The 13,874-nt window shown below is 42.1% G+C and overlaps 1 protein-coding gene across 13 annotated transcripts in view, besides 4 other annotated features; it reads right to left on the bottom strand.

The window, feature by feature from the left end:
* Positions 1 to 13,874, bottom strand: part of RGL1 (ral guanine nucleotide dissociation stimulator like 1) — a 292,424-nt gene that overhangs the window by 8,960 nt on the left and 269,590 nt on the right. For 7 of the 13 annotated variants that reach the window (XM_011509339.4, NM_001297669.3, NM_015149.6 and 4 more), the window contains 3 exons: positions 12,472 to 12,561; positions 7,305 to 7,491; positions 2,872 to 3,126 (listed from right to left, as the gene is read on the bottom strand). In XM_011509339.4, the coding sequence (XP_011507641.1) occupies positions 2,872 to 3,126; positions 7,305 to 7,491; positions 12,472 to 12,561 (532 nt within the window). Of the gene's footprint in view, positions 1 to 2,871; positions 3,129 to 7,304; positions 7,492 to 12,471; positions 12,562 to 13,874 lie in introns of those variants that run through there. The other 6 variants (XM_047415682.1, XM_047415687.1, XM_011509341.2 and 3 more) reach the window with 2 other exon arrangements.
* Positions 598 to 787: a silencer, noted in NCBI's record as "fragment chr1:183887920-183888109 (GRCh37/hg19 assembly coordinates)". NCBI's record gives its function as "represses an EF-1alpha promoter that drives an FKBP-Casp9 reporter gene in an ReSE screen in HepG2 liver carcinoma cells {active_cell/tissue: HepG2}" and the evidence as "EXISTENCE:reporter gene assay evidence [ECO:0000049][PMID:32094911]".
* Positions 3,339 to 3,528: an enhancer, noted in NCBI's record as "active region_2228". NCBI's record gives its function as "activates an Ori minimal core promoter by ATAC-STARR-seq in GM12878 lymphoblastoid cells {active_cell/tissue: GM12878}" and the evidence as "EXISTENCE:reporter gene assay evidence [ECO:0000049][PMID:35858748]".
* Positions 7,226 to 7,395: an enhancer, noted in NCBI's record as "active region_2227". NCBI's record gives its function as "activates an Ori minimal core promoter by ATAC-STARR-seq in GM12878 lymphoblastoid cells {active_cell/tissue: GM12878}" and the evidence as "EXISTENCE:reporter gene assay evidence [ECO:0000049][PMID:35858748]".
* Positions 7,872 to 7,961: an enhancer, noted in NCBI's record as "active region_2226". NCBI's record gives its function as "activates an Ori minimal core promoter by ATAC-STARR-seq in GM12878 lymphoblastoid cells {active_cell/tissue: GM12878}" and the evidence as "EXISTENCE:reporter gene assay evidence [ECO:0000049][PMID:35858748]".

The following is a 13,874-nucleotide window of genomic DNA, read 5'->3' as shown; positions in this document are numbered from 1 at the left end:
AAAGCAAGTTCTCTAGGCCACCAGTTCTCAGTGTGCAATCTATGGCCCGTGGGGTCCCTGAAATCTGTGAGGGGATCCATGAGATCAAAATTATTTTCATGATAATACTAAGATGCTGTTTGTCTTTTCTTTGTGTTGACATTTGCATAGGTATTGCAGAAGCTATGGTGGATGGAATTGCTGGCACAACAGCACAAATCGGTCCAGTGGTTTCTAACTACAAATCTACTAGCTGTCACTGTATTCTTCAGTACCCTGTACTCACAGTAAAAACAAAAACAAAACAAAACAAAGCCAGTCTCACTCACATTTTAACAGACTTTCAGAAATGGAAAACAATGCCACACTTCTCACTCAATAATTTTTGGAAAAAAATAGATATTTTTCATTAAAAAATAAAATTTACATTAACATGCAATGTGTTCATTATTGTTATTTTAAATGAATTAATCAACATTTTGAAAGTTTCTCAGTTTAAATATCTAATGTGGTAAATATCAACAGATACAACCCACATAGTCTGGAGCTCTTTGGAATATTCAATGCTGTTTCAGAGTATAAAGGGGTCCTGAGAACAAAAAGTTTGAGAACTGCTAGTCTCGCCTGAACCTGGACTGATTTATTTCCATCTTCTGGTCAACAGCACACAGCATAATACATTTCAGAAAGGTACGTCCTGTGAGCAAGGTTTCTCCTGAGAGGCCTAACGATTAGAATGAGAGCACGAGAGCAGTGTGTCGTCTCTCCAGAATAAGCCTGTGACATGCGCTGGCAGGATTTTCATGAAAGGTGAGTGCCACCACCTGGTGCAATATAAAGGGCCACAGGAAGGGGTTGGCAGGAGAGGTGATTCTCACAGAGGCAGCCCATTTGCTGGGGAAGGAGGAATCTCAGAGCAGGGGGCAGGGGATCTTCTGCTCACTACCCTCCCAACACTCAGACAGCATGCACAACCTGTGACTCCTCCTGGGCAGTAGAGGTTTGTGCAGTCCAACCACTCACAGTTCCCCCCAGACTGAGCAGAGTGCACGCTGACCAGGCATGTCCCAAAACATAACTGTTTGGTGTACAAATCCATGCTATAATTCAGAGACACTGTAGAGTTATGCAGTGGACATTCTCTCTGATTGGTGCAGGTAAGAGGTGCCAGGTGAACAGACCATGCTGAGCAGGCAGTAACCACATGGAGGACCTTGGCTTCCCTGTGTTTCCTCTACCTCTCGGGTGCTCCTTTATTAGCCCCTCCCTCATTACCACTTGCATTCTGCCTCATCCTACACTCAGTCTCGCGAGACCACGTCCCCCCTGTGGGGTTTGACAACTCCCAGTATTTGATCTCAGCACCAGCCTTGCACCAGCCCATGTTTCTGACCATCTATCAGACAATGCCATCTGATGTCATACTGGTACCTCTGATTTAAATGTCCCTGAATATCCTCCTCTGGTAGTTCATATCTCACAGACCCACCAACTACCCAGACAGCCTCTAGTCCTCCACAACAGTAACCAAAAAGTTGGTAACTAAATGAATGGATTCTACAATTCTACCTCATCAAAAGCTTTCAAAAATCCTCACCATCTCCAGCCACATGACCGTCATTCAAGCCCTTATCCTCTCCTACATGGAACATGATAGCAGCTTCCTAACTTGCTTCCCCGCCTCCAGTCTACCCCGACACTCCAGCAAACACAGTGCCATGACTTTCTTAATGAGCAAATCCCATCACTACTTAAAAGCCTTCAACAAGACCCTATTGCCTGCGGGATTAACACACTCCTCTGTGTGGGCCACAAGGCCCTTTACCACCTGATCTTGGCTCTATTATTTTGCACATTGTGAATAATGCTTTGTGGGCTCCCTTTCTAATTAAAAGTTCCTCAAAGGCAGAAATGTCTCACTCATCTCCCTATCCCCAAAGCCTGATCTAATGACTAGAACGCAATAAATGTTTGATATTTTGTTGACTCAATAAATGCTTTAGCAAAGCTTTTATGTGGAGCCTCCATACCACTTATGCCATATTCAGACCTGAGCTTGTAAGCACTGAGTGTGCCTTCAAAGAGGCGAGTGATAAAGATGAGGAGAGATGTGGAATTAGCTGTGGGATTTTGCTGCAAAGGATAAAGTGATTTCCAATACATGATTATCTCCCATAAACTAAGGAGTTTATATTCTTGTGATAAACCTACCAGACCTCACATACCCAAGGTTATCGCCATGAGAGGCTCTGTGTGTATTCCCAAAAGACTGCCATTATTAAAAATATCTTTGCAATTGTCCTCAGAAACACACAGATTTTACAAGAAGCTCAAAAAGGTCAGTCTCATTTTATAGGCATCGTTCCTCATTAACCCAAACTGTATTTCTAGCTTGATCATCCACTTTATTAACTAGGTTTGATCCAAATGACTAAATGACAAAAATCTGCCATCAGGGGAGTACACTGCTAAGAATGTGTGGAAATTCAATGATAAAACCAGACATATAATTCCATAGGAAGGCTTCCAAAAATGTGTGAGGTTGTGTCATCCTCCCTGGAGCACATTTACACTGTCACCCAAATTGAGAATTTTCAAATGGCTAATACTGACCTAAACGAATAAGTTTTAGCATTTCTTTAAGATGTGAAAATTATATCCTATATACACCATGTGTGTGCATATATATGTATATATATTTTATATACATATATCATTCAGCATCTATGCCCAGGGAGACCTGGAACTGACACACATCCCTTCTGTGTGAATGCATATATGTATATGCTAATATTGAGTGTGCATATTTAGGGCTATTAGTCTGAGCGGCCGACAGACACAGACACACAATCTAAATGGAAACCCGCTCCTGGGTCAGGGCTTGCTCCTCACCATGATGCTCTTGTACATGTTGCCGTTATTGTCTTCCACACTGATGCGGATTATGCAGGTGTCTTCATTCTGTTGGTTGTAAACAGGAGGCAGCACAGTCGAGGTAATGGACGTCACCGAGACAGAGCGCTTGTGGATTTTGGGGTTGTTGTTGCAGGACGGAGGGGAGGAGAGGGGGTTGATTAAGGAAGACATCCCTGAGGAATTTGTGTCCATGGAATGGATAGAAGAACAGGATGAGGAGGACTCAGAGAGCTGGAAGAGTAAACACACCCCAGAAGAAAACAGATTAGAACGCTGGCCAACAGCTTTGCAATTTTCAAAGCAGAGGTAGATATCAAGACTGATAGACTGCAGTTATTTCCTCCACAACAGCCCACAGCACACATGTGTCTCATCCCTGGTGTAAGTACTCTGAGTCCCCATCAGTGGTAGATGCCTATCGGTGACTCAGTGTGACCTAATCACTCTATAAGCACGTGAGGCAAAGCAGTTCTATTTCCCTAGGTTTTAGCTGTTCTTATAGAAGTTAACCAGCAGGTGGCAGCAGACACCAGAAACTGGAGGCAATATGGGTTCCCAAAGAAGTCAGAAGCTTACGGGGCTGGAGGAAAGCCTTGCCAACGCAGTTGATTCAGTCCTACTGCAGTCAGATTTCGTAGTGAGAGAGAAAGTTCTGTATTTTTAGAAGTTTCTAAGAGAAGTACCCCAGATTATACGGCTCTGCATTGAATATTAGTGCTAGAAAGGCCTTGGACATCAACTAGTCCCATACCTGTTCTGCTGAGGAACCTGAGACCCAGGGAGAAAACTGGGGCTCCAGGTCCACACAGCTAGTTGACAGCACCCCTAGAACAGGAACCCAAGCTCCCTGATTCCCACTGTCGAGTTCCCAGAGCAAGCACATGGCCAAGGCTCAGCCTGTGGCTGATGACAATAAGATGAATCAACATAGTATGCTGCTACCTCGGTATGTTTAGTACTGTGAGGCTTATCATGAACTTTCATATTATCTTATCCCATTTTAATTCCACAACTGTCTTGTGAACAAAATGCAGAGCATTATAAAGACGAGGAGAATAAGATTCAGAATATAAAAGTGACTTGCTCAAGGGAAATACAGCCTTTAAGCAGCTTCACCACTTTCCACATTTGCTAGTAGAGCCAACTGTATACATTTTCATGATGTGTATCAAGGACAATTAAGAAATGGAGTACTACAGTTAATATGCTTTTCTGATTAACTACACATTTCTCATCCATGCAATACCAATAACCAAAGAAAGAAGTTATTGGAAGAGGTACTTTTAAAAATCATTAAATTGAACCATTTAAAATACCCATTATTATTGTAGAAAATTATAAAGAATTTCCCGGAATGACTTAAGCTAAATTATACCATGTTAATCCTATAAAATATTCTGGAAGTCATTTATAAAATAAATAACATTTCTTTCATATTTATCTGCCTTTCCATGGAAACAGTATAGAAGTTGAGCTTTCTGGTTATCAGGCTTCTGATTAAAATGGAGTCTATTATCTTATTTCCTGTAGATTTCCTCCTGTGGCATAATTATACATTCAGTTCTATTGCACAGTTAGTTTACAGCCAGCCAGCTGATGTGACAATTCTCATGGGTAGGGGTCTGATTGTGGCTCTATCATAATATGGTTTAGTTTTTGTTTTGGTTTTTGGGTTTTTTTCTTCCTTATGTTCCCAAATGAATCAACTTAGTGGCTCAATTTGAGGACTAACTGATGATAGATAAGTTAATAGCATAAGTTTCTTTGCAGATATATTAGTTAAGGGGGTGCATTTTCCAATTATTCATTCAATTTTTTCGCCTTCATGTTCCTCTATCCAAACTCTATTTCCTTTGTTAGATTTTTCTATGATTCTAGTGACATTTATAGTTAAGATAAAGCCTAGAATATGCCTGGGTTATAGCAGCTCTAAACAGACTGCCTGATGAGCCCCCAAATTCCTATTGAGAATTTAAGAAGTGAGGAGCAAGTGCAAAAATCAATATTTAGAAATCATGATCGGGGAATGAAGAAAGGAATGCAAATAAATTACACTTCACCCTTAAGAGCAACCTCACAGTGCAGCCTGTGGAAAAGGAAGAATGACAGTCTGGAGGACTTTTGGAGAAGGCGGCTGTCACAGGCTCTCAGGTCAGGAAGGAAGTGTGGAGGTCAGCTCAGTCCAGCTATGTGCCAAGCAGGAGAATCACGAGCCTTTCTAGCTAATATGCAGGGATTGTGCAGTCCAGGAGCTACTTGCATCCAAGTGAATCACTGATGTTTAAGAAATGTATGACTCTGAGAAAGGTTCATCCAAAGAATAAAGAGCCATGACTTCTGCAAGAATTTAAAAAGCCAGTCTGATGAGGGATGAGACAAAAAAGATGAAGCAAGGGATGTGCAGGAGAAAGCACACTGGGCTTCTGCATAGTTTTAAAAGGTACCATTTGGACCAATGTACATTTCCACTATGCCACAAGGTGTGACTGTGATTCCATCTCCTTCCTGGAGAGACAGGGAGAAATCCCACAATAATGTGGGCAATACCTCAGTTATTACTTTCCTACAATGTCTACCATCAGAAATGGAGCCTATAAAACCTCAGAGGCTGTGAAAAAGTGAATGATGAGACTGCATTCCAGATTTTGACAAAGCTAATTTGTATGTCAAGTCACGAAGAATGACTACATCCCGGGTTGAGGAAAAATGCCTTTTGAGAGCATGGCCAGTCCGTAGGTGTCCACGAAGGCTTTCTTTCAATATTTAGAGCATGAATGATTGTATCCCCTGGATTTCAAAGCAGAAAGCTAAGAAATCCAACTAGAGCAGCAAATTAGTCATCTCAGTTTGATGAATCCTGAATATGATGCTTTTCCTGGATTGGCTACATTATGACAAAGTCACTTGAGGGTTCCAGGATTACCACTGTTGTTTTAACACCATGTGAAGCAACACACATGTCCCCTTGAAGAGCAGCAGATATAAACCAAGGGATGAAACCATTGCCAACATTCTACCTTACTGACCTAACCATAAGCTAAGGAGCCAGAAGTCACTATTGAGTAAGCTTGGTTAGCCAGAAACCTTCCCCAAATGGTGCAAATTCTAGTTATGTCATAGTTGACTTTCTGATCCAAACCCTTCAACCAACAGATTGAAGCAGATGTGTACAGAAGATTAACACTGATATTGGTGGGGTGCGGTGGCTCATCCCAGCACTTTGGGAGGCCGAAGTGGGTGGATCACCTGAGGTCAGGGGTGTGAGACCAACCTGGCCAACATGGTGAAACTCCATCTCTACTAAAAATACAAAAATTATGCGGGCATGGTGGCACATGCCTGTAATCCCAGCTACTCGGGAGGCTGAGGCAGGAGAATCCCCTGAACCCAGAAGACAGAGGTTGTAGTGAGCCAAGATCGTACCACTGCATTCCAGCCTGGGCAACAGAGTAGTGAGACTTCATCTCAAAAAAAAAAAAAAAAAAAAAAAAAAAAGAAGACTGGTCTTAATTAAGATCTTAAGATTAAGATATTTTGGTTTTTAAATTTTTATTTATGCAGTCACAGAAAATAGAAACTCGACGGAAATTCTTTTATCACCTCTCATCAGTTTCCTTTTTTCCAACATGGGAGAATGTATCCTTGTTACCAATCCCTCATCTTCCCCTGCAGCTGTGCCCTTTGCACTGTGATTTCAGAGTTCCTCCCACTAAAACTGGAGCCTATTTCTCTGCTTCATTTACTTATGTGGAATGTGGCCACATGATTACTTTAGCCAATAGAATGTTGGTTGATACGACTCAAGTAAAGGCTTGACATATGCTTGCGAGTGGGCTTGCCCTCTTGCTTGTCCGTCTTAGCATGCTAAGGGCATGCCCTGGGTAGCCCGTTACTCCAACAATAATGAGAGGCAAGTGGAACAGACCTGGACCAAATCTGTGGCCTAGTGTCAAGCCCAACCTAGATCAGCCAACCAGCAGATACATAAGAGAGATAAATAGTGGTTGTTTTAAGTCACTGACTTTTGGAGTGGCATGCAATGCAACATTATTGTGATAAATGCTTGGCTAAGACAAAACATGGCACCAAGAACCTGACACATCTCCATCTCTGACTTTTTGCTCTTTCTAAGAAGTCCTACTTCCCCTAAATAACTCCAGTGCCTTAAGAGGTGGGTATAGAACAATATTTCAAAGGCCAAATGAATAAACGAAACTGCTTAGTGCTTTTACACCTGTTTCTATTAGTAGTATGTCCCCAAATTGAACTCTTCTTTTGATGCCTGTTCAAAACATGACTTTCAAAATACTATAGAGTGATCCACTTAAAAACAGACATTCCTTGCTGTGGTGTGGCAAAGAGCATGTAGGTGCCTGCATTAGGAATTATGAGAAGGGTTGAGTATATACCTTTTTTTGAGGCTCATCAGGGGTGTCCATGGGAGTAATGGAGCCCTCCTCAGCCTCTGAGTGGTTCGACTCGCAGGATGACACGCTGACAGAGTCCATGCTTTCACCAGAGCTCCCGCTGGCAGTGGACTTGGGCTGCTCTTTGGTGGGAGTGGGACTGGTGATCATGTCAGACCCTAGAAACAGTCTGGAAAAAAACAGAATGCCAAGCATTTGGGCTGTTACAAATCTGGAATCCATGATTAGGCAAATATTTTGTGTTGATTAAGCCCTTGATGTTTTTTCAGTCTTGTGTGTTCTGTCATTATTATTTTAGGAGGACATTCGCTATAAAGTTTCTAACAAATAGTAGTAAACATCTTGTCCCAAAAGAGTATTTCCAACTTCAAAGAACACATAGATTATTCAGTACTAATCTGAAGTCTTTCTAGGTCAATGGTCCTCTACATTTTAACAGTCTATGGACCACCTTGGCAGGATCAAGATACCATCAGCATACCCCCATCACTTCCTACCATAAAATGATCTTCACAGGCAAAGAAGGGATGGCACTGCTTTGGGTAAGAAACCAAGGAGGAAGACTTCTATTTCCAACAATCTGTGAACTACAGTATCCTAAATGCTTCCTCTATAAAACAGCTAGATAAGAAATATTAAAAACTCTTTTTAGTTGAGCTTGCAAGATAGGAAGGGAAATCCCTACAGGCCTTAAGTGAAAAAGGAACTGAAAACCAGAAGCACGCGAGCTAGTTCTGCAGCTGCTCTGGTGGGGGAGTGGGAGGCCCCAATCTTGGCAAAATAGTGATATGGGTTTTAATGCACACCCAGGGCCCAAAGATGAGGGTTTCTGTTTATGAATGGTGAGGAGTTAGAACCAAAACTATATACAGCCAGGGCCCACAAAGGGCTATACCCTTACTAAAAAGATAGGCCAGAAAAATATCTTTCTACTAGCATAGGAAGACAACAGGGAGACTGTTCTTGCCTGAGCATGGAAAGAAGAAAAATGTCTCCTATGAAGTCATGTGTGAGCTGGGTCTGTGCCTCACTCCAATTTGCTATTTATGTGGTCTATGGGGTTAGAAACTCTCAACCGGTGACACCGCTAGTAAACTAGATTTTTTCTTAAAAAAAAAGAAAATCTTGCGGGAGGGATATACCTTCAGCCCAGGCTTCAGAGAATCCCCTGATAAAGATAAACTCGTGATACAAAATTACAAAATACACACAAGGAAATATTCCACTGAAAGAGAGAGCCAACAGGCATAACAAAAAGCAGGCTTAGACTCCTGAGAACTTCAAATTTGAGAACTGTCAGAACAAAACTAATAATGTGCTTATTCATCCAACAAATATCTGCATGTCTACTATAAGCCAAGCTGCAAAATAAGTATGTTAGGAAATATTAAAGACATAAAAGAAGAAATTGAAAACCGGAGCTCAGAGCAAGACATCCTAATAAAGGAAGAAGATAATTTGAAAAACATTTCACCTCTAAGTGAAAAAGGTGGTGACTTAAACTAAAACCTCAGTGGAAGGATTAAATAACTTGAAGAAAAAAATCATGAACTAGATGACAGATCTGAAGAAAATCCTCAAAAATCATCATCAAAAGATAAAGACATAGAAAGAACAGTGAAAAGATATGGAGAAAGCAGTAAGAAAGCCCCAGGTATGTGTAGGAGGAGTTCCAGAAGACATGGAGAGGATGGAAGAAGGCCCATATCAGAAGAGATGGTGGCTGAGAGGATTCCAGAACTGGTGAACCATAGGAATCCTCCCATCCAAGAGCCATGTCCTGAATAGGGTAAGACTAAACTCCCACTTAAACTGGTATATCAAAGACAAAAGAAATTCTTAAAATCAACAGGGGGCCAGGCACAGTGGCTCTCAAAGTGCTTCCAGCACTTTGGGAGGCCGAGGCAGGCTGACTGCCTGAGTTCAGGAGTTCAAGACCACTCCAGGCAACGTGGTGAAGCCCCATCTCTACCAAAATACAAAAAAATTACCCAGGTGTGGTGGCATGTGCCTGTAATCCCAGCTACTTGGGAAGCTGAAGCACAAGAATTGCATGAACCCAGGAGGCAGAGGTTACAGTGAGCCAAGATCACTCCAGCCTAAGCGACAGAGCAAAACTCTTTTGAAAGAAAGAGAGCGAGTGAGGAAGGAAGGAAGGAAGGAAAGAAGAAAGAAAAGCAACAGGAGTGGGAACATAAAACAGAGGAATAGTAATTAAGCAGATACCACACATCTCAAAAGTAACCATGGAAGTCAAAAGACACTGAATAATATCGTCAAAGTGCTGAGTGAAAGTAACAGTCAGTATTGAATTCTATACCCGTCTAATATAATTCTAAGAAGGAGGGCAAAATAAAGACTTTCTCAGACTAAGACTGAGAAGGTTTACCGTTAACAGATTTACACCACAAGTAGTGGTAAAAGGAGGGCGGGAGTCAGATTAAGAAGGAACGGCATGCAAGGCAACTAGCACGTGGGCTGAACCTAAACAAGTACTGACTATAAAATAACAACAATAATAGAAACAATGAAGGTGAACTTGATTTTTTATTAAATATTTTCGGAATTATATGCTTGAATTCCAAGAGCTCAAGCATATTTTTGCTCTGCCTTATCTCTACCCTGCTATCTCCAGCCCCATTTTCCCTGTCTTCCTTTTATGACCCTTCAAGCATTACAGGAGCATTACAGGGACTATAGGGGTATGAGCTAAACTCTGATCACAGAAGCAAAAATAATGCCCTTTCTTACTGCTTCATAAATTACAAAGGTAGATCTTGAAAGGATGTCAACTAGTGGTCCTCCATCCATTATCTCAGAGTCTCTAGGGTTCTTCCATTTCTACAATTCAGTAAGGTCCTGCTTTGTCCTGCGTTGTGAAGGTTCATTCTGGCTCAGTAGTAGGCATCTCTAACTTTCAAACTAGGCCTAAGCACCCAAAGTTTTCTCCAACCTCTTTGGAATGATGAGCCATTGAATGTGGGAACAGCAAAAATGCATTTCCCAGATTTGTAAACATGCTAAGAAGATCATGAAATCTTTTGAAAAATAATGGTATGCAAACACCCTTGTATGTACAAGAAATAAGATGGGGGCATATGAACTGCTTTCATAATAGATGCCCAAACTCAACTGCAGATACCAAGGGTTATCCCAGCAAGATTTTACTAGTAAGAGATGTACTGAGTACCTACCACACTTTGTGAAGGGCATAGCACCCTCACAGTCCTGCCCTCTCTGGATTTCACAGTAAATGTTTTCATAGGACTGACCACTTGTCTGTGTCAGTGAAGACAGAGGATCCAGGGGTATTAGAACTCCCACCACAAAACATATAGATCCCGGGCTTGGAGAGGAGTACAGAGAAGCAGTAGCATAGAAATGAGGATGGGGAGAAGGCAGGAGGATAGAGGTAGCAGGACGCAGGATTAGGCCTGCCTGCATTGAGAATTTTTGTTTTTTTCCTTAAGAACCTCTGACTGCCATAGTGGGTCCAGAAGCTCCCAATTCCTTCTGCTGCCTCAGTGAGCAGAGTGGACACCCAGGATCCCCTGCATGTCTGGACTCCTCTATCAGGGAGCTGATTCCCTGTGCACATGCCAGTCTTACCAGCTGACAAGGCTTGGTCAGGCCCCTCAGATTATCTCAGTAGTTCATTCCCCCATATCTGCAAAGATGAAAAGACAGCAAGATACTATGAAAAATTCTCCTCAAGAGCTGACTCCAAAAGCTCATAAATCTAGAGTTCCGCAGGGCCAGGACAGTCATCTGAACAAAGAGAGGGTGAGCAAAACACAGGATGATCTTCCAGATGCTTTCTACTAAAGCGCATGTTCCAACCCACCCACAATGCCTCATACCACCCATATCACCTGATGGCAGATAGCAGCCTGCGTGGCCGCTGATGGTGGGAGACCTTGCTATCCACATCCAGCAGAGGTCTTTATGTTACACCGGGGACATGGCAACACTCAAGGTCATGTGCCATCCCTGCCTGTGTCTCAATGTGACTCACTGAAGTAGGTGGAGAGACAGTGCTGGGAAATATCAAATGCCCATAAAGACAGTCAGAATCCTGATCCCCCCAAATCCTCAAAAAGATATTAACTGATTCATTTCATTAAAAATAATGGTGGTTTTTCAGGCACATATTGAGAGCTAGGTACTGCATATATATATGTATGTGTATATATATATGTGTGTATAAATATATATATATATTTGTTGTTGTTGTTTTGTTTTGTTTTGTTCTTAGAGACAGGGTCTCGCCCTGTCATCCAGGCTAGAGTGCAGTGGCACAAAAATAGCTCACTGTAACACTGAACTCCTGGGCTCAGGCAACCCTCCCACCTCAGCCTCCCAAGTAGCTGGGACTACATGCGTGCACCACCATGCCCAGCTAATATTTTAAGTGATATTTTTTTGTAGAGACAGGATCTCACTACATTGTCCAGGCTGGTCTCAAACTCCTGGCCTCAGGCAATACAACTGCGAGCATGATAGACAAGGTTCCTGTTCTCAGGTTGCTTACATTCCACTGGAGGAAGCAGCTAGTATGAATGAGAATGAGGGGTGGACAGCAACATTAGAAAGGGTTCTCTCTTGGCACATAACATTTTTGCTAATATTTGAAGGAGCCAGTCATGAAGAAAGAGCATTTCAGGCCAGGCACAGCCAGTGCAAACGTCTTCAACACTGGTGAACAGAGGGCAATGTTGTAAGAGAGGGAAGTCTGCAGGTTAAGTCATGTAAGGCCTAGTAAACCAGGATACAGAGTTTGGGTTTTATTTTAAAATAAAAGCTATAGGGGTTTTTATACAGGAAGCAACATAATCTGGTGTACATTTTAAAAGACAACCTAGCTATTTAGTGGAGAATGAATGGTTGGGTAAGGGGCAGCCAGAAGACAGTGAAGATGTTACTGGAGTGATTCAGGCAGGAGAGAATGGTGATTCACAACAGAGAGGGGAGTGGAGAAGAATGGACTCAGCAAATGCTTTGAGTTCATGACAGAAGGATAAACGGCTTAACAAATGAGCGGAGTGCTCTTCACTTTCACCCTGGCTCAAGGTCATCCTGTTGAATACATCTCCTCTCACGACTCTGATGGCACCCTCTTGGAGCCCCAGAACCCCCAGGGGACACTCACAGGCTGAGTCTCTTCACCATGCTCTTCCGAGGCTTGGGCGAGGTGGTGCTGGCGTCAGCAGCTGCTTCAATCTCACATGACAGGGCATAGCTGAGAAAGAGAAGGGGGCTCCATGAGGTCAAAGTTAGAGAATTGAAAAACACACTTAAATTCACATGATGTCCTGGTTTTGTTTTAGAGAAGGCTCTAATTGTTCAAAGTAAAGATATATACAAACGTTGTCCTATCATAAACGTCAGGGGGTACTGACTTCACGGCCCGATTTGACACATTTATCTTATGTGCTTCCTCCCTCACCTCCACTGGCATATGGATTGAGGCTATTTAGTTCTGCGTGTTTCAAATACAAGGATATATGCACTTTGGCAGCATCAAAAACTAACTCCATTCTGATCATTCTCATCCCACTGCTAGGCCAGTGGAAGAATCTTCCTTCCTCTACTACCTCCCCCTCCTATTTCTTCTCTATTACCTCCTTCCTACTATTTTGTATGTGTGTTTGTGCACATGCACAAATGACTTAGTTTTATCTAAAGAAAATGAAGAGACTTTTGTAATCTATCTGATCGTCAATGAACAGACATAGGCAATTACATTACTGATAAAGATATATATATATATATTTATTTATTTTAGTAGAGATGGGGTTTCACCATGTTGGCCAGGGTGGCCTACAAATACTTTTTTAAATTTTTAATTGCCAAAACTTCCTAAATTAAAAATGCTCCAGATTCAGACCTCTATCTGCCAGGCAGATATAACTGACACAAGCACAAGAGGAATTTATATGTGATTCCAAGTGCCTTTTATGAAAGCTTGTAGCTGTAGACAGTAGATGTATTTCGTTACTGAGTAGGTGGGGAAGGGTGCCCAACATTATACAGCCATCTTCAGAGCTTAGGCTGTAGAGCCGGGCAGACCTGAGTTTGAATCCAAATGCTGTCATTAATTCATTCAAATATTTCTCTAAACCTCAAGTTTTTTTTTTTGTAAATACTTATTTTGCTGTCAATTTCACTCTCCCTTATGATAAACTTCCAAAGAAATCCCCTGGGCTAGGGTAGGGATGGGCCAACTTCTTCTGTAAAGGATCACATAGTATTTTAGGCTTTGTGGGCCATATGGTCTCTGTTGCAACTACTCAACTCTGTCTTTACAGCATGAAAGCAACCATAGATGAGATGTAAATGAACGGGCTGTGTTTCAATAAAACCATATTTATGTAGATACTGAAATCTGAATTTCAAATAACTGTTTCGTGTCACAAAATATTCTTTTTTTGTTCCCCCCCACCCCAATCATTTAAAAATGTAAAAACAGGCAGTGGGCCACATATGGCCTGCAGACCAATCTGCCAACAAGCGAGCAGGCTACAGGACAGGGACGTGCTGAGCCAGCAGGCA

The sequence above is a fragment of the Homo sapiens genome, chromosome 1, assembly GCF_000001405.40.
Source record: "Homo sapiens chromosome 1, GRCh38.p14 Primary Assembly".
Lineage (NCBI taxonomy): Eukaryota > Metazoa > Chordata > Mammalia > Primates > Hominidae > Homo > Homo sapiens.
Note: the sequence above shows the minus strand (reverse complement) of the source record. Positions and strands in the feature narration are given on the sequence as shown.